The 22,690-nt window shown below is 34.2% G+C and overlaps 1 protein-coding gene and 1 long non-coding RNA gene across 8 annotated transcripts in view; one reads left to right on the top strand and one right to left on the bottom strand.

Annotated features, from left to right (window-relative positions):
* Positions 1 to 22,690, bottom strand: part of SCN1A-AS1 (SCN1A and SCN9A antisense RNA 1) — a 220,254-nt gene that overhangs the window by 78,274 nt on the left and 119,290 nt on the right. The gene's annotated exons all lie outside the window — the stretch shown is intronic.
* The window catches only part of SCN9A (sodium voltage-gated channel alpha subunit 9), a 180,803-nt gene that overhangs the window by 152,477 nt on the left and 5,636 nt on the right, over positions 1 to 22,690 (top strand). For 6 of the 7 annotated variants that reach the window (XM_011511618.3, XM_011511617.3, XM_011511616.4 and 3 more), the window contains 2 exons: positions 19,047 to 19,151; positions 19,286 to 19,556. In XM_011511618.3, the coding sequence (XP_011509920.1) occupies positions 19,047 to 19,151; positions 19,286 to 19,556 (376 nt within the window). The remainder of the gene's footprint in view (positions 1 to 19,046; positions 19,152 to 19,285; positions 19,557 to 22,690) is intronic. The other variant, XM_011511619.3, reaches the window with a different exon arrangement.

Genomic DNA, 22,690 nt, shown 5'->3' with positions numbered 1-22,690 from the left:
TTCACCGAAGTGGAATTATGCAATATTTTTTCTGTTACTTCACTCAGCATAAATTTATCCAGGTTCATTCAAGTTGCTGCATATGGCAGGATTTCCTTCTTTATAAGGCTGAATAGTGTGTGTTTGTGTGTGTGTGTGTACGTGCACACGCACATGCAGGTATACAAATACCACATTTTCTATCCCATCATTCATCAATAGACATTTAGGTTGTTTTCATATTTGGATACAGTAAATAGTGCTGAAGTGAACATGGAAGTAAGGACTCTGAGATCCTGAGTTCAAATTTTTAAAATATGCTCAGATGTGGCATTGCTAGATCAAATGGTAGTTATATTTTTAATTTTTTCAGGAACTTTCATACTGTTTTCTATGGCAGCTACATCATTTTACATTCCAACAATGTACAAAGGTTCTAATTTCTCCATATCCTTGCCAACACCTATTATCTTTTGATTTGGGTGGTTTTTGTTTTTGTTTTGGTAATAGCCATCCTAGCAGGTATGAAATGATATCTCTTTACGGTTTTTTGTTGCTGTTTTTTTTTTTTTTTTTTTTTTTTTTTGTTGTTTTTTTTTTTGAGACGGAGTTTCGCTCTGTCGCCCAGGCTGGAGTGCAGTGGCGCGATCTCGACTCACTGCAAGCTCCGCCTCCCGGGTTCACGCCATTCTCCTGCCTCAGCCTCCCGTGTAGCTGGGACTACAGGCGTGCGCCACCATGCCCGGCTAATTTTTGTATTTTTAGTAGAGACGGGGTTTCACCCTGTTAGCCAGGATGGTCTCGATCTCCTGACCTCGTGATCCGCCCGTCTCGGCCTCCCAAAGTGCTGGGATTACAGGCGTGAGCCACCACGCCCGGCCTTGTTGCTGTTTGTTTGTTTGTTTTTGAAGGAGTCTCACTCTGTCACCAGGCTGGAGTGCAGTGGCGCGATCTCAGCTCACTGCAACCTCCGACTCCCTGGTTCAAGTGATTCTCCTGCCTCAGCTTCCCAAGTAGCTGGGATTACAGGCATGTGCCACCATGCCCAGCTAATTTTTGTATTTTCAGTAGAGATGGAGTTTCACCATTTTGGCCAGGATGGTCTTGATCTCCTGACCTCATGATCCACCCACCTTGGCCTCCCAAAGTGCTGGGATAACAGGCATGAGCCACTGCACCTGGCCCTCATTACAGTTTTTATTTGAATTTTCTGATGATTAGTGATACTGAGCATCTTTTAATATACATGTTGGTCATTTGCATGCCTTCTTAAGTTGCAGGAGTTCCCTATATATTTTGGATATTAACCATTTATTAGATATATAGTTGGAAATATTTTCTCCCATTCTATAGGTTGCTTTTTCACCCTCTTGAATGCTTCCTTTTTTTCCCAAAGCTTTTTAGTTTGATATGGTCTCAATTGTCTATTTTTGCTCTTGTTTGAATTTTGGAGTCATTGCCAAGAAATCATTGTCAAGAACAGTATCATGAAGCTTTCCTGCTATGTTTTCTTCTACAAGTTTTACAGTTTTCAGGTCTTAGGTTTAAATGTTTAATCTATTTTGAGTTTATTTTTGTGTATGGTATAATATAAGAATTCAATTTTATTTTTTTATATGTGAATATCCAGTTTTCCCAACATTATTTGTTGAGTGGCCTCTTTTCTATTGTGTATTCTTGGCACCCCTGTTGAATATGAGTTAACTATTTATGCATGGGTTTATTTCTGGGCTCTCTATCCTGTTTCATTGGCCTATATATTTGTTTTATGCCAGGACCATACTATTTTAATTGTTGTAGCTTTGTTATACATTTTGAAATGAGGACCTGTGGGGACTGGGTGCAATGGCTCATGCTTATAATCCCAGCAACTCGGGAGGCTAAGGCTGGAGGATCACTTGTGGCCAAGAGTTTGAGACCAGCCTGGGCAAGATAGACTCCTTCTTTACGAAGATATTTGAAAAGTAGCCAAGCATGATGGCACACACCTATAGTCCTAGCTACTTAGGAGCCTGAGGTGGGAGGATCACTGAAGCCCAAGAGTATGAGGCTGCAGTGAGCTATGATCATGCCACTGCACTCTGGCCTGGGCAACAGGGTGAGATCTTCTCTCTCAATAAATAAATAAATAAGAAATGAGAAAATGTGATTCTTCCATTTTGTTCTTTTTTCTTAAGATTGCTTTGGCTATTCAGAGTCTTTTGTGGTTCCATATGAATTTTAGGATCTTTTTTTATTTTAGTAAATAATGCTATTGGGATTTTGATATGTACTGTATTGAATTCACAGATCACTTAGGGTAGTATGGGCATTTTAACAATATTAAGTCATTTAATTCGTGAATACTGGGTCTTTCCATTTATTTGTGTCTTCTTTAATTTCCTTCATGAACATTTTGTAGTTTTCAGTGCATACATTTTCAATGCCTTGGTTAAGCATATCCTAAGTATTTTATTTCTTTTGATGTTATCATAAATGGGATTTCTTTCCTAATTTTCTCTTCAGATTGTTTATTGTTAGTGTATAGAAACGCAGGTGATTTTTGTATGTTGATTTTATATCCTTCAACATCTAGTAAATTTGTTTATTAGTTCTAACAGATTTTCCTGATGTGTGGAGTCTTTAGGGTACTCTCCATATAAAATAATGTCATCTGTAAACACTTTTTTCTTTCAGATTGGGATGTCTTTTACTTGTTTTTCTTGCCTAATTTCTCTGGCTAGGACTTCTAGTGCTGTGTTAAATACAAGTGGCAAGAGTAGCCATATTTGTCTTATTCCTGATCTTACAGGAAAGTTTTTCAGTTTTTCACCATTGAATACGATGTTAGCTGTGGGATTTTCAAGTAGTCTTTGTTATCATGAAGTATATTTCCTCTGTTCTCATCCATTTGTGCTACTATAACAGAATACCACAGACTGGGTAATTTATAATGAACATAAACCTTATGGGATCACAGTACTGGAGGATGGAAAGTTCATGACTGAGGGGCTGTCTGGTGAGGTCTTATTTGTTGTGTCATAACATGCTGTAAGGTATCATGTTATGATACACATGGCACAAAGAGAGAATAAGTGAGAAAAGGAGGCAGAACCTGCCTGTTTATAATGAACTCAATCCTGAGATAACAGCATTAATGCATTTAAAAGGGTAAAATTCTCATAACTTAAACACCTCTTAAAGGTCTCACCTCCCAATTCTGTCACAATTGCAATTAAATTGCAACATGAGCTTTGGAGGGGACAAACCTTCAAGTTATAGCAACTTCTATACCTAGCTTTTGTTTTCTTTTTTTAGTTTTTACCATGAAAGGTTGTTGAAATTTGTCAAATGCTTCTTCTGAATCTCTTCTGATGATCATGTGATTTTTATCCTTCTCAGATCATGTGGTGTATCACATTATTGGTCTGCATATGTTGAACCATCCTTGCATCCTAGGGACAACTCCCACTTGGTCGTAGTACATGATCATTTAATGGGCTGTTGCATTCAGTTTGCTAATATTTTGATGAAGTTATTTGCATCTATGTTCATCAGGGATCTTGTTCTGTAGTATGTTTTTTTCTGTTTAAATATTTGTTCATTTTTAATTGACAAAAATTGTGCTTATTTATGGGGTACAAAACAATGTTTTGATCTACATAAACATTGTAGAAATTTTCAGTCACGCTAATTAACATAACCATCACTTCACCCACTTATCATTTTTTTGTGGTAAGAAAGTTAAAAAGCTATTCTTTTAGCAATTTTGAAATATACATTTATTTTTTTCATTTCCTATTGTGTGACTTTTTTGACTTTTATTTTAAGTTCAGGGGTACATGTACAGGATGTGCAGTCTTGTTACATAGGTAAACATGTCATAGGGGTTTGTTGTACAGATTATTTCATCCCTGAGGTATTAATCCCAGTATGCATTGGTTATTTTTCCTGACCCTCTCCTTCCTCCCACCCTTCACCCTCCCATAGGCCCCAGTGTGTGTTGTTACCCTTTATGTGTCCATGTGTTCTCATCATTTAGCTCCCACTTATAAGTGAGAACATGTGGTATTTGGTTTTCTGTTCCTGCCTTAGTTTACTAATGAAAATGGCCTCCAGCTCCATTCATGTCCCTGCAAAGGATATGATCTCGTTTTTTTTTGAATGGCTGCATAGTATTATATGGTATATATTTACCACATTATCTTTATCCAGTCTATCACTGATGGTCATTTGAGTTGATTCTATGTCTTTGCCATTGTGAATAGTGCTCCAATAAACATATGTGTGCATGTGTCTTTATAATAGAAAAATGTATTTCCCTTTAGGTATATACCCAGTAATGGGATTGCTGGGTTGAATGGCATTTCTGTCTTTAGGTCTTTGAGGAATTGCCACACAGTCTTCCATTATGGTTGAATTAATTTACACTCCCATCAACAGTGTGTAGGCATTCTTTTTTTCTCCACACCCTCGCCAGCATCTGTTATTTTTTGACTTTTTCATAATAGCCATTCTGACTGGTGTGAGATGGTATCTCATTGTGGTTTTGATTTGCATTTCTCTAATGGTCAGTGACATTGAGCTTTTTTTCATATGCTTGTTTGTTGCATGTGTGTCTTCTTTTCAGAAGTGTCTGTTCATATCCTTTGCCCACTTTTTAATGGGGTTGTTTATTTCTTGTAAACTCATTTAAGTTCCTTATAGATTCTGGATATTAGACCTTTGTCAGATGCATAGTCTGCAAAAATTTTCTCCCATTCTGTAGACTGTCTGCTTACTCTGTTGATAGTTTCTTTTGCTGTGCAGAAGCTCTTTAGTTTAATTAGATCCCATTTGTTAATTTTTGTTTTTGTTGCAGTTGCTTTTGGTGTCTTCATCATGAAATCTTTGCCCATGCCTATGTCCTGAATGGTATTGCCTAGGCTGTCTTCCAGGGTTTTTATAGTTTTAGATTTTACATTTAAGTCTTTAATCCATCTTAAGATTTATTCCTCTACTCTAAATGAAAAATGTACATCCTTTGATCAAGATTTATACTTTCTCCACATCGTCTTCCCCCAGTCCTATGGCAACCACCTTTATATGCTGTTTCTGTAATGTTGACTTCTCACTTTTTTATTTTTTATTTATTTATTTTTTTATTTTACTTTAAGTTCTAGGGTACATGTGCACAACGTGCAGGTTTGTTACATATGTATACATGTGCCATGTTGGTGTGCGGCACCCATTAACTCGTCATTTACATTAGGTATATCTCCTAATGCTATCCCTCCCCCCTCCCCCCACCCCATTTTACATGTAAGTGAGATCATGTGGTATTTGTCTTTCTGTACCTGGCTAATTTTGCTTAGCATAACGTCCTTTAGTTTCATTCATGTTGGGATGAATGACAAAATTTGTTCTTTTAAAGTTTTGTATAGTAGTGCACTGTGCATACCTATCACATTTTCTTTATTCATTCACCTGTTGATGGGTACAGGTTGCATGTATGGGTTAGTGCAAAAGTAATTGCGGTTTTGGCCATTACTTTTAATTGCAGCAAAAGTAATGGTAAAAACTGCAATTACATTTGCACCAACCTAATATGTCTTGGTTCTTGTAAATAATGCTGAAATGAACATGGGAGTGCAGGTATACCTTTGACAGAACGATTTTAATTCCTCTAAAGGAATTAAATATATACCACTATATACCTAGAAGTGGAATTGCTGAATTATATGGTAATTGTATTTGTTTTGGGAACTTCCATGCTATTTTTCTCAAACAGCTGTACTAATTTACATTTTCACTAACAATGTATAAGGGTTCCTATTTCTCCACATCCTCATCAACACTTGTTATCATTCATCTTTTTGATAACAGCCATTCTAGGAGGTGTGAGGTAATATTTCATTGGGATTTTAATTTGCATTTTTCTGATGATTAGAGATGTTGAGCATTTTTTAATATATCTATTGGCCATTCATATCTCTTCTTTTGAGAAATGTCTGTTCAGATTATTTGCCCATTCTACAATTGGTTTATTGATTTTCTAGGTGTTGAGTTGCTTGAGCTTTTTATGTATAATGTTGGATATTAGCCCTTTATCAGATGTATGGTTTGCAGATATTTTATTTCAATCCATGATCTCTCTCTCCACTCTGTTATTGCTTCGTTTGCTGTAAAGAACATTTTTAGTTTGATCTAATCCAACTTGTCTCTTATTGTCTTTTGTTACCTGTGCTTTTAGAGTCCTAGCCAAGAAATCCTTGCCCAGATAAATGTCATACAGCTTTTCTTTTATGTTTTCTTCTAGTAGCTTTATAGTTTCATTTCTTATATTTAAGTCTTTTACTTGTTTGGTTTTATAAACATATGGTATGAGAAAGGGCCCAATTTCATTCTTTTGCATAAGGAATATTCAGTTTTCCCAACACCATTTATTGAAGAGATCGTCCTTTCCCCCATTGTTTATTCTTTGCACCTTTGCTGAAAATCAATTGACTATAAATAATTGGGTTTATTTCTGGGCTTTTTATCCTTTTCCATTAGCCAATATATCTGTGTTTATGCCAATAGCATAGCTTTATATTTTGAAATGACAGAGTATTGCACCTCTAGCTTTGTTCTTTTTGCTCAGATTGCTTTGGCCATTTAGCATCTTTTTTATTTTATTCAAATGTTAGGATTTTTTACTATTTCTGTGAAAACTGACATTAGAATTTTGATAGGGATTGCATTGAATCTGTAGATTATTTTGGGTAGTATGGACATTTTAACAATATTAATTCTTCCAACACATGAACATGAAATATATTACAATTTATTTGTGTCTTCCTCAGTTTTTTTAAATCAACTTATAGTTTTCAGTGTACAGATCTTCAACTTTCCTGGTTAAATTTACTTCAAAGTATTTTATTTATTTATTTTGATGCTGTTTTAAATAGGATTAATTTCTTAATTTCTTTGTTGGATACCTCATTGTTAATGTATAGAAATGCTACTGATTTTTCTATGTTGATTTTGCAAACTGCAACTTTACTGAATTTATGTATCAGTTTTAACAGTTCTCAGTAGAGTGTTCAGGGTTTTCTACATATAAAGATCATGTCATTAGCAAACAGAGATAATTTTATTTCTTGCTTTCTTACATGGATGTATTTTATTTCTTTTTCCTGCCTAATTGCTATGGATGGGATTTCTAGTACTATGTCAAAAAGAAGTGGTAATAGTCGATATCCTTGTCTTGTTCCTGATCTTAGAAGAAAAGCTCCCAACTTTTCAGTTTTTGCATAATGTTAGCCGTGGGCTTGTCATATATGGCTTTATTTTGTTAAGGTACATTCCTTCCATATCTGCTTTGTTGAGATTTTATTATGAACATATGCTGGATTTTATCAAATGCTTTGTCTGCATCTAGTAAGATGATCATATGATTTTTGTTCTTATTTTGTTAATGTAGCATATCACATTTATTGATTTATGTATGTTTAACCATTTTTGCATCCCTCAGATAAATCCCAAGTAATCATGGTGAATGATGTTTTAAATGTGCTAGGGAATTCAGTTTGCTAATATATTGTTGTGAATTTTTGGATCTATGTTCATCAAGAATATTGGCCTGCAGTTTTCTTTTCTGGTAGCATACTCTTAGGGTTTTCATATCAGTATAATACTGGCCTCATAAAATGAATTTGACCTCCTTTTCAATTTTTTGGAAGAATTTGAGAAGAATTCATATTACTTCTTTAAATAGAATTCACCAGTGACCTTTTCCTTTTTTTTTTTTTTGGTTAGGAGACTTAATTTATTACTGATCTATTTTCTTTATCCAGTATTGGTTTGTTCAGATGTAATATTTCTTGATTTAGTCTTGGTAGGTTGCATGTTTCTAAAGATTAGTTCATTCCTTCTAGGTTATTCAATTTGATGGTGTATGGTTGTTCACATTAATAGTTTATGATTCCTTGTATTTATGTGTTATCAGTGTTAGTCTCCCTTCTTTCATTTCAGATATTGTTTGAGTTGTCTTTTTTCCCTTGGTTAGTCTAGTTAAAGGTTTTTCGATTTTATCTTTTCAAAAAAACAACTTTTTAGTATTTGCTTTGTTTATTTCTATCATTATCTTTGTTATTTTCTTCCTTCTGCAAAGTTTGGGGATATTCTGTTCTTCTTTTTCTAATCTCTAAGATGTAATATTAGGTTGTTTATTTGAGATTTTCCTTCTTTCTTTAATGTAGGCATTTATTACTATAAATTTTTCTCTCAGGGCTTCTTTTTCTACATTCCATACTATTTGTTATCTTGTGTTTCCATTGTCATTGATCCCAAAATATTTTCTGTTTTTCCGTATAATTTCTTCTTTGACCCATTGCCTGTTCAGGAGCATGTTGTTTAATTTCCACGTAATTATGAGTTGTTCAAGGTTATTCTTATTGACTTCTAGTTTCATGTCATCATGAACAGAAAACATACTCGATATGATTTTAATCTTCTTAAATTTGTTAAAACTTGTTTGGTGGCCTAACATGTGATCTATCCTGGAGAGTGTTTCATGTGATTTGAGAAGAATATGTATTTTGTTGCTGTTGGATGAACTGTTCTATAAATATCTGTTAGATCTATTGGATTAAAGTGTAGTTCAAGCCTTCCTCTAATAAGAAACTGCATAAATTATGTCAGGAGCAAGCCAGGGAAGAAGCCACCTTCCTGTTCTTGGTGGTAGAGACCTTCCACATCTTTTAAAAGAAAGATTGTGGCCGGGCGCGGTGGCTCACGCCTGTAATCCCAGCACTTTGGGAGGCCGAGGCGGGCGGATCACGAGGTCAGGAGATCGAGACCATCCTGGCTAACACGGTGAAACCCCGTCTCTACTAAAAATACAAAAAATTAGCCGGGCGTGGTAGCGGGCGCCTGTAGTCCCAGCTACTCGGGAGGCTGAGGCAGGAGAATGGCATGAACCCGGGAGGCGGAGCTTGCAGTGAGCCGAGATTGCGCCACTGCACTCCAGCCTGGGCGACAGAGCGAGACAGCGAGACTCCATCTCAAAAAAAAAAAAAAAAAAAAAGAAAGATTGTAGAGTTGGGATTGTCTCTGGAGGAAGCCAGGGAAGAAGGCGTGGGGAATGTTATTCCTCTTGTTTAGGCTGAAGAAGGTTTATTCTTCATTTGCTATGTAGATTTCCAAGTACTGGAAGAGGCCAGAACCACAGGGAGCGGCTGGAAAACGTGTAGCCTAATGGTTTCCATGGGGAAGTTGGAAGATGGTCTGATCCCAGGAATTAAAGCTTCTGAGAGTGCTCAGGCAGTTCAAAACCCCCCATCGTTTTTTGTACTTGAGAGAAAACTCCAATGGCTTATCTCTGCCATTCCTCAAGCATGGTGATCTAAAAGCCAAGCTCTGTGTCAGGGCCTATAAAAGTTGGGTTCTACAAAATGGAAAACCAAGGCAATTATGAAGATGATTTTATAATATAGTTCATCTCTTCTCTCTTTACACTCTAGAAAAAGCATTTTCTAGAAATAAATACATTTCCTTAAATTAAAAAAAAGTTGGGTTCTATATGTGTGCTATAGTTTCTCAACCCTTGGGAAGTAGCTGCAAATTTGGTTTTCTTCCCAAATGTAAGGCACTGTGCTCAGGGTGGGGTTAGTGCATGAGTGTCTTTCCACTTTTTCTACCCATTTTGATATGGGTATTTTCTGTCCTCTGGTGTGCATGAGTTTTTCTACTGGATTCTGGGTTTCTCTGGAGAGAACTGATCCATGTGTATGTAGATGTTTACTTGGTACGTCCATGAGAGAAAAAATAGTCATAAACCTCCTATTCCACAATGTTGCTGAAGTCACTTCCTTCAAAAGCTGTAATTTTCTTTTCTTACAGTGTCTTTGTCTGGCTTTGATATGAGAATAATTCTGGCCCCATAAAATGACTTTCGAAGTGTTCTTTCCTCTTCAAAGTTTTAAGAGAGTTTGAGAAGAATTAATGTTGTTTCTTCTTTAAATGTTTGGTTGGACTTCTCCAGAGAAGCCGTCTGGTCCTGTACATTTCTTTTTTGGGAGTTACTATCATTATCATTATTATTATTATTATTATTATTATTATTATTATTGGTTCAATTTGTCTATTCAGTTATTCTATTTCCTCATGATTCAGTCTTGGTAGGTTGTATATTTTTGGAATTTACCTATTCCTTCTAAGTTATCCAATTTGTTGGTGTATAATTGTTCATGGTAGTCTCTTTGATCCTTCTTATTCCCATAAAATCAGTTGTAAATTCTCCTCTTTCATTTCTGGTTTTACATATTTGAGTCCTCTATCTTTTTTCTTAGTTATGCTTGCTAAGGATTTGTCTATTTTATCTTTCGAAAAAACCAATTCTTAGTTTTGTTGACTTTTTCTATTGCTTTTTTATTCTCTATTTCACTTACTTAGCTCTAATACTTATTATTTCCTTCCTTTTGCTGATGTTGGGCTTAGTTTGTTCTTTTTCTAGTTCCTAGACATGTAAATCTATATTGTTTATATGAGATATTTCTTTTTATAATGTAGACATGTATCTCAATAAGATTTGCTTTTATTACTGCTTTTGCTGCATCTCATAAATTTTGGAAATTGTGCTTTCATTTTTGTTTGTTTCAAGATACTTTTAAATTTTCCTATTGATTTTTTTTCTTTGACCCATTGCTTTTTCAAGAGAGTGTTGTTTAATTTCCACATATTTGTGAATTTTTCAGTTTTCCTTCTATTACTGACTTCCAGTTTCCTTCCATTGTGGTCATAAAAGATATCTGGTATGATTTCAACTTCTTAACAGTTGTCAAAACAAACTTCATGACCTGATATGTGATCTATCCTGAGAATATTCTGTGCGCACTTGAAAAGATGGTATATTAAGATGCTGTTGGGTAGCATATTCTGTGTGTTTGTGATCCATTTGGTCTATAGCGTTGTTCAAATCCACAGTTTGTTTATAGATTCCATATCTGGCTGTTCTGTTCATTATTGCAAGTCGGGTATTGATGTATCCTACTGTTATGGTGTTGCTGCATGTTTATCCCTTCAGATCTGTCAATGATTGCTTTACGTATTTACATGCTTTGATGATGGATTCACATATATTTATAATTGTTATATCTTCTTGATGAATTAACTCTTTTATCTTATTTTATGACCTACTTTGTCTCTTGTGACAGTTTTTTATTTAAAATCTATTTTGGCTGATATAATTACAGGGTGTCCTCTGTGTCTGTGGGTTTTACATCTGTAGATTCAGCCAATGCTGATTGAAAACACTGTATTCATGGAATGTGAAATCCACAGATACAGAGGGTCAAATTTTTTTATCCACAGGTCCTGCAAGACTGACTGTGGGACTTAAGCATCCTCAATTTTGGTATCCCTTGGGGTTCTGAAACCATGACCCTGTAGATACTGAAGGACGACTGTATAGCCCCATTGCTCTCTTTTGGTTACCATTTCTACAAAATGTATCTTTTTTATCAATTAACTTTCAAACTATGTTTTCTTAAATCTGAAACGAGTATCTGGAGACAGCATATAACTGGATCTTGTTTTCATAAATCTATGCAGCCATTGTAGGTCTTTTGATTGGGAAGTTTAATCCATTTGTATTTGAAATAATCATTGGTAGGTAATGACTTACTATTGCCTTTTTGTTAAATTTTTCTGTTTTGTAATTCTTTTTTTCTGTCTTTTTCTCTCTTAACTGTCTTCTTTTGTGATTGGATGATATTTTATTGTGATATGCTATGATTTCTCTTTTTTATTTCTGTATTTTTACGTGGATTTTCCTTGTGGTTATCATGAGGCAATCACAAATATCTTATAATAGTCTACTTTAAGCTGATAACAACTTAACTTCAATCATATATCAAAAATCTTCACTTTTAATACCTCCCTCACACTTTTTGTTATGTCACAATTTACATCTTTTTATAATGTGTTTCTACAAACACATTTTTGTAATTTTAGTTATTCTTAATTATTTTGACATTTAACTTTTATATTAGAATTATAAATGATTTATATAATACTATTAGAGTATTACAGTATTCTCTATTTGTCCATGTATTTACCTTTACTAGTGAGATTTGTGCTTTCATATGCTCTTGTGTTGCTCTTTACCATGCTTTCGTTTCAACTTGAAGAACTCACTTTAGCATTTCCTATAAGATAAATCTAGTGGTGATGAACTCCCTCAGCATTTGCTTGTATGAGAAAGTTTTTATCCTTCCTTAATTTTAAAGGACAGTTTTTCCAGGTATATTATTCTTGGTCAGCAGTTTTTTTCTTTAAGTATTTTGAATATATACTTTCACTTTATTTGCTCTTTTAAAGTTTCCACTGAGAAATCTGCTGTTCATCTTAAGAGAGCTCTTTTGGACATGACAATTCAGTTTTTTTCTTGCTGCTTTCAAACTTCCCTTTCACTTTTGGCAATTTGATGATATTATGTCTCTAGTGGAGACTTTCTTTCTTTTTTTTCCGAGATAGAGTTTCACCGTGTTGCCCAGGCTGGAGTGCAGTAGCATGATCTTGGCTCACTGCAACTTCCACCTCGTGGGTTCAAGCAATTCTCTCTGCCTCAGCCTCCCGAGTAGCTGGGATTATAGGCACCCACCACCACACCCAGCTGATTTTTGTAATTTTTGGTAGAGATGTGGTTTTGCCATGTTGGCCAGGCTGGTCTTGAACTCCTGACCTCAGGTGATCCACTCCCGCTCAGCCCCTCAAAGTGCTGGGATTACAGGTGTGAGCCACCATGCCCAGCCGAGACTTCTTTAGATTTGTCCTATTTGGGATTCTTTGAGTTTCCTGAATTTAGATGTTCATATCTCTCCCCAAATTTGAACATATTTTAGTCATTTAAAAAATATTTTTACACCCCTTTCTGTCTTCTCTGTGATTTCATAATGCATATATTGTTCCACTTAATGATGTCCCATGAACCTTCACTCATTTTTTTTTTTATTTCTTCTTGCTCCACTGACTGGATAATTTTAAATGATCTACCTTTTTTTTTTTTTTTGGTGTCCATCTTTTGAGGGTTTTTTAATTTTATTTTTTATTTTTTTATTTTTATTTTTTATTATACTTTAAGTTTTAGGGTACATGTGCACAACGTGCAGGTTAGTTACATATGTATACATGTGCCATGTTGGTGTGCTACACCCATTAACTCATCATTTAACATTAGGTATATCTCCTAATGTTAGGTATATCCCCCTCCTCCCCCCACCCCACAACAGGCCCTGGTGTGTGATGGTCCCCTTCCTGTGTCCATGTGTTCTCATTGTTCAATTCCCACCTATGAGTGAGAAAGTGCAGTGTTTGGTTTTTTTCCTTGCGATAGTTTGCTGAGAATGATGGTTTCCAGCTTCATGCATGTCCCTGCAAAGGACTTGAGCTCATCCTTTTTTATGGCTGCATAGTATTCCATGGTGTATATGTGCCATATTTTCTTAATCCAGTCTATCATTGTTGGACATTTGGCTTGGTTCCAAGTCTTTGCTATTGTGAATAGTGCCGCAATAAACATACGTGTGCATGCGTCTTTATAGCAGCATGATTTATAATCCTTTGGGTATATACCCAGTCATGGGATGGCTGGGTCAAATGGTATTTCTAGTTCTAGATCCTTGAGGAATCGCCACACGGACTTCCACAGTGGTTGAACTAGTTTACAGTCCCACCAACAGTGTAAAAGTGTTCCTATTTCTCCACATCCTCTCCAGCACCTGTTGTTTCCTGACTTTTTAATGATCACCATTCTAACTGGTATGAGATGGTATCTCATTGCGGTTTTGATTTGCATTTCTCTGATGGCCAGTGATGATGAGCATTTTTTCATGTGTTTTTTGGCTGCATAAATGTCTTCTTTTGAGAAGTGTCTGTTCATATCCTTTACCCAGTTTTTGATGGGGTTGTTTTTTTCTTGGTTTGTTGATTCTTTCTCCAGTTTGATCAAGTCTGCTATTGAATCCTCTAGGGAGTTTTTTAGTTCAATTATTGTATTCTTCAATTCCAGAGTTTTTACTGATATTTGACTTTTTGTGTGTGTGTGTATAGTTTCTTTCCCTTCATTGATATCCTCATTGTGTTCATGTATCATCTTCCTGATTTTGTTTAGTTGTCTATCTCTGTTCTCTGGTACTTTGCTAAACTTCATTAGGATAATTATTTTGAATTCTTTTTTAGGCAATTTATAAATCTCTATTTCTTTAGGGTCAGTAACTGCGGATTTCTTTTATCCCTTTTTGTTGTTTCCCTAATTCTTTGTGTTCCTTGTGCTTTGCATTGGTGTCTGTGCATTGGAAGAATAGCCACCTGTCAGCCATCCGACACAATGTCACAAAGGACACAAAACAGCCACCAAGATTTATGGACTGACTTTGACAGGGCAAGACCTTTGCCAGTCAGCCTGGCTAGAGATACTGAGAGTCTCTCAAACAGCTAATCTACCGTCCCCTTTTCCTATGTTTGTAGCTGTATCAATTGTTCTAATCATACTGGTTCTTTCAGTGCTCCATATGAGGCAAGAGTGAAACTGGACCCTAGTGCAGCACACTGAATGGCAAGGACATTTGATGTGCTCCACTCCTCTCCCTCCCTTGAAAGTGGTATCTTGATGAAAATGAATAAATTAGCCCCTAGAAAGGATGGATAAATTGTTTCAAACCAAGTAACAGGATACCAGCACAGTTATGATTGAAATGCCTGTTTGATTTGAAAACCCATATCTTTTCCACAATGCAATGTTGCCACTTACTGCTTTTTAACTTCAATAATTTGATCAAAGCTTATGGCTCTATCAACTACCCATGCCTCTTTCTAATAACCAACCCTATTTTACTAGTTTTTCCAACTATTCATCATCCTCATAAGTACTTTTTTCACCTCTAATGATTTCATGTGAAATTAGTTTTTAATAATCATAAAACATACTACTATTAGAACAAAAGTCATTAATGAGTTCAAGTTATAAAAAGGAAGATTACATGATATACAAATATATAATTACAAATTTGAGCAACTATGGAGTAAATGTTAACAATAACCTCATTTCATTAACTCTCATCTTATCAGGAAGTTTAATAGCACCAACAGTAATAGTAACTAAAATTTAATGAAGACTTACCATGTGCCAGATATTATGCTAAGTATTCTTCATGCATTACCTCAATTTATCTTCTCAGCAAACACAAATGCAGTGACTACTCTTATAATGATGAGGTGGTTTTACTTAAAGAATTAAGAAACTTACCCAAGGACAAAAGAAAGGACTTGAACAAAGATGATCTGACACCAGAAGTGAAGAAGTCTTTATTACTATGTAATACAGCCTCAATGTAGATTGTAACACAGAAAAAAACTAGCCTGACTTACAGAATTCCTTCCACCTAGGTTTTAAAGGGATACATTTTGCACAAGGCCTAAATAAGCTATAGGAAAACAAAACACCCACGCAAGTTTCTCTATTGAATTAATTCATAATCTCCTATTAGTTTTATCCCATTCTTCATCATATTGACAACCAGGATATCATTAGGGGAAAACAAAATCTATTACTTTGATTTTCTCTTCAAAGTTGGAGTTTTCTCCTCAGTTTTTCTCCAGCTTCTTCTGTCAAGTTCTTGGCATGCTGTAATTTTCAGTCCCCATTAATGAACAGTAAAGGATCTGGGTTTCTCTTGACATTGACATGAAGTCTGTCTCTCTCATGCCTTGCCAGTAGGTGAGATGAATATGAAAATTACATAAAGACTGCATATTAAATAGAGGAAAGCTGAATTAAAACACTCTAAGGTGGCCGGATATGGTGGCTCACGCCTGTAATCCCAGCACTTTGGGAGGCCAAGGCTGGCAGATCACTTGAGGCCAGGAGTTCAAAACCAGACCAGCCAACATGGTGAAACCCTGTCTCTACTAAAAATACAAAAATTAGCCTGATGTGGTGGCATGCACCTGTAATCCCAGCTACTTGGGAGGCTGAGACATGAGAATTACTTGAACCCAGGAGGTGGAGGTTGCAGTGAGCCAAGATGGTGGCACTGCACTCCAGCCTGTGCCTCAGAGCAAGACTCCATCAAAAACAACAACAACAACAACAACAACAACAAAAACACTCTAAGGCAGAAAGGGAAGTCTGGTTACCATTAGGTGTTTGATGAATAAGAAAATTCAATATAATGGGAAGCTTCCCATTCAATAGCAAACAATTAAAAAAATAAGTAAATAAGAGGAAGCTGAATATTACCAAATCCAAGAGAATAAAGGGAAACCATAACCAGGTCATCTTTAATTCCAGCACCCTACAAGTTAAGTAATGATCTCAGAACTATAAATCCTTGAAAATAAATTCTTAATTATATGGATTATACTAATTTATGCTGTGACTTAAAAAGGTGAAATTATAGACTAATGTAGAATATACATAAATCTGTAAAACTTACAGCTAACTTAAGAAATTAGCAGAGAACAAAGGGAGCAACTGAAGCTTCTAGCCCCCCTTTGTAAGATTTAGGCTTTTCCAGTCAAAAACCTCATTTAGATGTTATGTTATTTACTGTTGAATTTTAAAAGTTATATTTTCTTTTATGTAATCAATTGGAAAGTCCTTCAGTTTGGGTATGATAATTGATAACTTCCTCAGTACCTAGAAATCTATCAAGGATAATGTTGACATCCAATAAAGTGTTTATGTTGAAATCCTTTATTTAGAATTAAAAAGGTAGTCAAAGAGTTTCTTGAAATAGAGATATAGAAATGTATATTATCATTTTAGTTTATATTCATTTTTTATGTAAAGGAATAATGGTATATTAAAATGAATATAAAATTAATACAATTTTGGTTATTGTATGTAGCCCCTATTCTTTTTTTATTATTATACTTTAAGTTCTAGGGTACATGTGCAAAACATGCAGGTTTGTTACATAGGTATACATGTACCATGTTGGTTTGCTGCACCAATCAACTCATCATTTACATTAGGTATTTCTCCTAAGTAATCCCTCCCAAAGCTCCCAACCCCCTAACTGCCCCTGGTGTGTGATGTTCCCCTCCCTGTGTCCATGTGTTCTCATTGTTCAACTCCCACTTATGAGTGAGAACATGCAGAGTTTGGTTTTCCGTCCTTGTGATATTTTGCTGAGAATGATGGTTTCCAGCTTCATGCATGTCCCTACAAAGGACATGAACTCATCCTTTTTTATGGCTGCATAGTATTCCATGGTGTATATATGCCACATTTTCTTTATCCAGTCTATTATTGATGGACATTTGGGTTGGTTCCAAGTCTTTGCTATTGTGAATAGTGCTGCAATAAATATACATATGCATGTGTCTTTATAGTAGCATGATTTACAATCCCTTGAGTATATACCCAGTAATGAGATTGCTGGGTCAAATGGTATTTCTAGTTTTAGATTCTTGAGGAATCATCACACTGTCTTCCACAATGGTTGAACTATTTTACACTCTCACCAACAGTGTAAAAGCGTTGCTATTTCTCCACATCCTCTCCAACATCTGTTGTTTCCTGACTTTTTAGTGATTGCCATTCTAATTGGCATGAGGTGGTATCTCATTGTGGTTTTGATTTGTGTTTCTCTGATGACCAGTGATGATGAGCATTTTTTCATATGTCTGTTGGCTGCATAAATGTCTTCTTTTGAGAAGTACCTGTTCATATCCTTTGCCCACTTTTTGATGGAGTTGTTTGTTTTTTTCTTGTAAATTTGTTTAAGTTCTTTGTAGATTCTGGATATTAGCCCTTTTGTCAGATGGATAAATTGCAAAAATTTTCTCCCATTCTGTAGGTTGCCTGTTCACTCTGATGATAGTTTCTTTTGCTTTGCAGAAGCTCTTTAGTTTAATTAGATCCCATTTGTCTGTTTTGGCTTTTGTTGCCATTGCTTTTGGTGTTTTAGTCATGAAGTCTTTGCCCATGCCTATGTCCTGAATGATATTGCCTAGAGTTTCTTCTAGGGTTTTTATGGTTTTAGGTCTTACATTTAAGTCTTTAATCCATCTTGAGTTAATTTTTGTACAAGGTGTAAGGAAGGGATCCAGTTTCAACTTTCTACATATGGCTAGCCAGTTTTCCCAGCATCATTTATTAAATAGGGAAGCCTTTCCCCGTTGCTTGTTTTTGTGAGGTTTGTCAAGGATCAGATGGTTGTAGATGTGTAGTGTTATTTCTGAGGCCTCTGTTCTGTTCTGTTGGTGTATGTATCTGTTTTGGTACCAGTACCATGCTGTTTTGGTTACTGTAGCCTTGTAGTATAGTTTGAAGTCAGGTAGTGTGACGCCTCCAGCTTTGTTCTTTTTGCTTAGGATTATCTTGGCTATGCAGGCTCTTTTTTGGTTCCATATGAACTTTAAAGTAGTTTTTTTCCAATTTTGTGAAGAAAGTCAGTGGTAGCTTGATGGGGATAGCATTGAATTTATAAATTACCTTGGGCAGTAATGCCATTTTCATGATATTGAGTCTTCCTATCCATGAGCATGGAATATTCTTCCATTTGTTTGTGTCCTCTTTTATTTCGCTGAGCAGTGGTTTGTAGTTCTCCTTGAAGAGGTCCTTCACATCCCTTGTAAGTTGGATTCCTAGGTATTTTATTCTCTTTGTAGTAATTGTGAATGGGAGTTCACTCATGATTTGGCTCCCTATTCTTTATAAAAGTTCTAAATATTTGCCAAATCATCAAAGAAGATATTCATTACTTTTAATTCTTACAAATTTTCTTAGCAATAAAAGTCACAGTAAGACAGCTAGCAGATAAAAAAGATAAAAGTACATAGTTTAAAACAACACTGATTAGCACACCAAAAGAATATTGAGCCAATCCTTATTATATGTAATACAAATATTTATATATGCACATTTAACTGTGTTTGGAGACCCATGTTTCTACACATATGTAATTATTTAAGATATATTTTATGTATAGCTATCATGAACATAATAAAATACATTTTATTTCTATATTAACACATTTTAACCTATTTTAGTAATCTATAGAAAGATGTAGACAATGATTCTGGTTTTAACTACATTTATTTTTTGTTTGTTTCTTTACCTTGGAGGTCAAGACATCTTTATGACAGAAGAACAGAAGAAATACTATAATGCAATGAAAAAGCTGGGGTCCAAGAAGCCACAAAAGCCAATTCCTCGACCAGGGGTAAAAAAATATATATATCTTTAGCATATAGATTTTCAAATTATTTCTAATTCATTTTTAATGCACATCTTTAATTTCTGGATAATACTTGAAAAGTTTACTCTGCATTCGATATTATTCTTATTTCTTTGCAGAACAAAATCCAAGGATGTATATTTGACCTAGTGACAAATCAAGCCTTTGATATTAGTATCATGGTTCTTATCTGTCTCAACATGGTAACCATGATGGTAGAAAAGGAGGGTCAAAGTCAACATATGACTGAAGTTTTATATTGGATAAATGTGGTTTTTATAATCCTTTTCACTGGAGAATGTGTGCTAAAACTGATCTCCCTCAGACACTACTACTTCACTGTAGGATGGAATATTTTTGATTTTGTGGTTGTGATTATCTCCATTGTAGGTAAGAATATTTATTTTTCAGATTTTATTTTTTGAGTAAAGCTAAACTTCACTTATGCTCAAGGAAGTATATGCTGAATTCTTGAACACAAATTTACTCTTGAGTAAGTCAGTACAATGAAAGAATGAAAAAATCCTAAAAAGCAAAACAAATATCTGTCTCTCATACTACAGTGTTTCTGGGTTTACACTACAGGCCCCAAAGCCAAATATTTCTATCTATTAGAAGGAAATTATACTTGTTGATATTTAGTTTCCAATATTACCTTTGCAAAACTAGTTACCATGTTTATATATAGCTGTGTCTTGGAAAACCAATGTTGAATCTGAAATAACTTCTGGTTTTAGCACATGTGAGACTTGTCATTTGATTAATGATAATATTAATAGCCAGAATATCTGTGAATTTGTGAAAATTCTTCCAGAATTTAAAGTGAAGTTAAGATCTCTAGAAATGCCAGTTTTATTTTTTACAGCTTAATACTTCACAAGTGTATAAAATGCCAATCATTCCTCAACCAGCCATGGTGTTCATGTCTGTGAATAACAGCACATGATTTTATACTTCCTATACATTCATTGCCATGGTTGTTTTTCTATCTTCTTGTTTTTGTTGTTGTTGTTATTTTCACATATCTTGCAAAGTATTTTAGGATTGTATTTCTTTTTAGAATTATAAACTTTTAAGAGAGAGAGATTATAGAGATTACTACAAGTTTAATCAACAGGTTATCAATCTGAAAAGGTTCAAGGTTGCATGACTTAGAATCATAAAATTGAGTGCCACATAACAGAGTAAGCATTTAAAATCAATAATTTTGGAAAAGCATATTATCACCAGAAGTCATACCAAAATTGATATAAGAAAATGTATTAAAATTTAGGTGAGAATTTCACACTAACAAAAATGATTCTGAAAGCATTCCTATTAAGTCAGGAAAAAAAAAAGAGTGTGCCTGTATCATCCCTGTTTTTAGTGTTGTTGGCCAATGCAATTAGATAAGAAAACAGAGAGGTACATATATAAAAACAATGGAGTAAATGATCCTTAATATAATGACCTTCTTCATATAATGAAAGAACTTGTTCATATATTGAAAGAGAATCAACTAAAAATAAATTCAATTAGAGTTCAAAAGGTACAAATTTTAAATTACATGTGCCAACACTAATAATTATCTTATACATGAAAAAAATTAGAAAATCTGATTCACAATTGCAATAAAAATAAAGTAAATTATCTAATAATAACTTTATCATATGAGACTTCTGAAGAAAACTTTAGGATATAAAAGAAAGCTAAAATAATTGAAAGGATTGTCATGTACTTAGATAAGCTTCTCTCATTGTAATTAAGACTTTCAAATTTATTAATCTATAAATTCAAGGAAAATATCAATGAGTCTTTTTATGTAGTGTGGGTAATAAATAGACAAAAACAATATAAGTCTAAATGATTCTAAATTCATCTGGAAGAAAATTAGGGTGACAAGAGGTGGCTTATTCTGCAAAATATTAAGACATATAGATGTTAAATAAAACTGTTCAAATATAAAAGCTCAGTGGGTTTGAAGAGAGTCCAAATTAAACTTTAATGTATAATTACCAATTTACTGTGTGAAAAGATCACATGAATCAAAATCTAAAGTTAAAAAAAAAGATTCTAGTAGGAAATATGTGGAAATAGACATATAACCATATACTCTTATAGTCCTTTCTATGCAAAACACAAATTTGTAAAGCCAAAAAAAAAAATGAAGAAGAAATGACTGCACAAAAAAACAAAATATTCTTTGGGGAAAAAATCATCATAAATAAAAGGTTGAAAGACAAAAAATAGGTGAAATGTTTACATAACAGTTAAGGCCGAGAAAGGATCAATACTTTAAATAGAAAATTGTTCTTATAAATTAATAAGAATATAGTAAAAATCCCAATAGACACATGGGCAAATACCAAACTAAGCCAAAAACAGAAGTTAAAAACAACCAATAAGGATACAAAATAACAAAACACAAGGAAAATTGTGGATTATTTTCACAAAAAATGCAAATAAATTACAATAGTAGATGTTTTCAAATGTCATGAAAATTTTTTGGTAAAAAACTATAAAGAAGAATGGTAGCACTCAATACTGTTGAATGTGTAAAGTATGAGCACTATCATATACTGCCATTAGAAATGTTAATTAGTACAGGCTTTCTGGAGATAGGTTCAGCTATATATTGTGTGTATATATATACACATACACACACATACTATGTATATAGTATAGAGTATGTATATATGTATACTATATATATACATACTCTATACTATATATATAGTATACGCATACTCTATACTATATATATAGTATACGCATACTCTATACTATATATATAGTATACGCATACTCTATACTATATATATAGTATACGCATACTCTATACTATATATATAGTATACGCATACTCTATACTATATATATAGTATACGCATACTCTATACTATATATATAGTATACGCATACTCTATACTATATATAGTATATGCATACTATATGCTATATAGCGTATATGCATACTATATGCTATATAGAGTATACGCATACTATATGCTATATATACATACTATATAGTATACATATACTATGTACTGTATATACGTATACTTAGTATATGTATATGTATATGTATAGTATATGTATATGTATAGTATATGTATACTATATACTGTATATAGTATATATAGTATGTGTATATATATAGTATGTGTGTATATATAGTGTGTGTATATATATAAACATATATATACTGTTGACCCAAGTTCTATTAACATATTATTAAAAAGTACTCATGCAATTAGGAGAACATAGCTATTTAGATATTCATTTCAGTAACAAAAATGGAAACAGTATAAATGCTAGTCTTCAATTTGTGGTTATTTTGAGAGAACATTATACCACTATAATAAATTATTTCGTTGTCATTTTTATGAAACTATCTCCATGACATATAAAGTAAATAAAATAGGTTACAGGCTGGGCACTGTGGCTCACGCCTATAATCCCAGCACATTGGGAGGCCGAGGTGGGCGAAATCACTTGAAGTCAGAAGTTTGAGACCAGCCTGGCCAACAAGGTGAAAACCGTCC

This window comes from Homo sapiens, chromosome 2 (genome assembly GCF_000001405.40).
Source record: "Homo sapiens chromosome 2, GRCh38.p14 Primary Assembly".
In the NCBI taxonomy this organism is placed as follows: domain Eukaryota; kingdom Metazoa; phylum Chordata; class Mammalia; order Primates; family Hominidae; genus Homo; species Homo sapiens.
The sequence above is the reverse complement of the archived record's forward strand: the minus strand, read 5'-3'. Positions and strand labels throughout refer to the sequence as shown.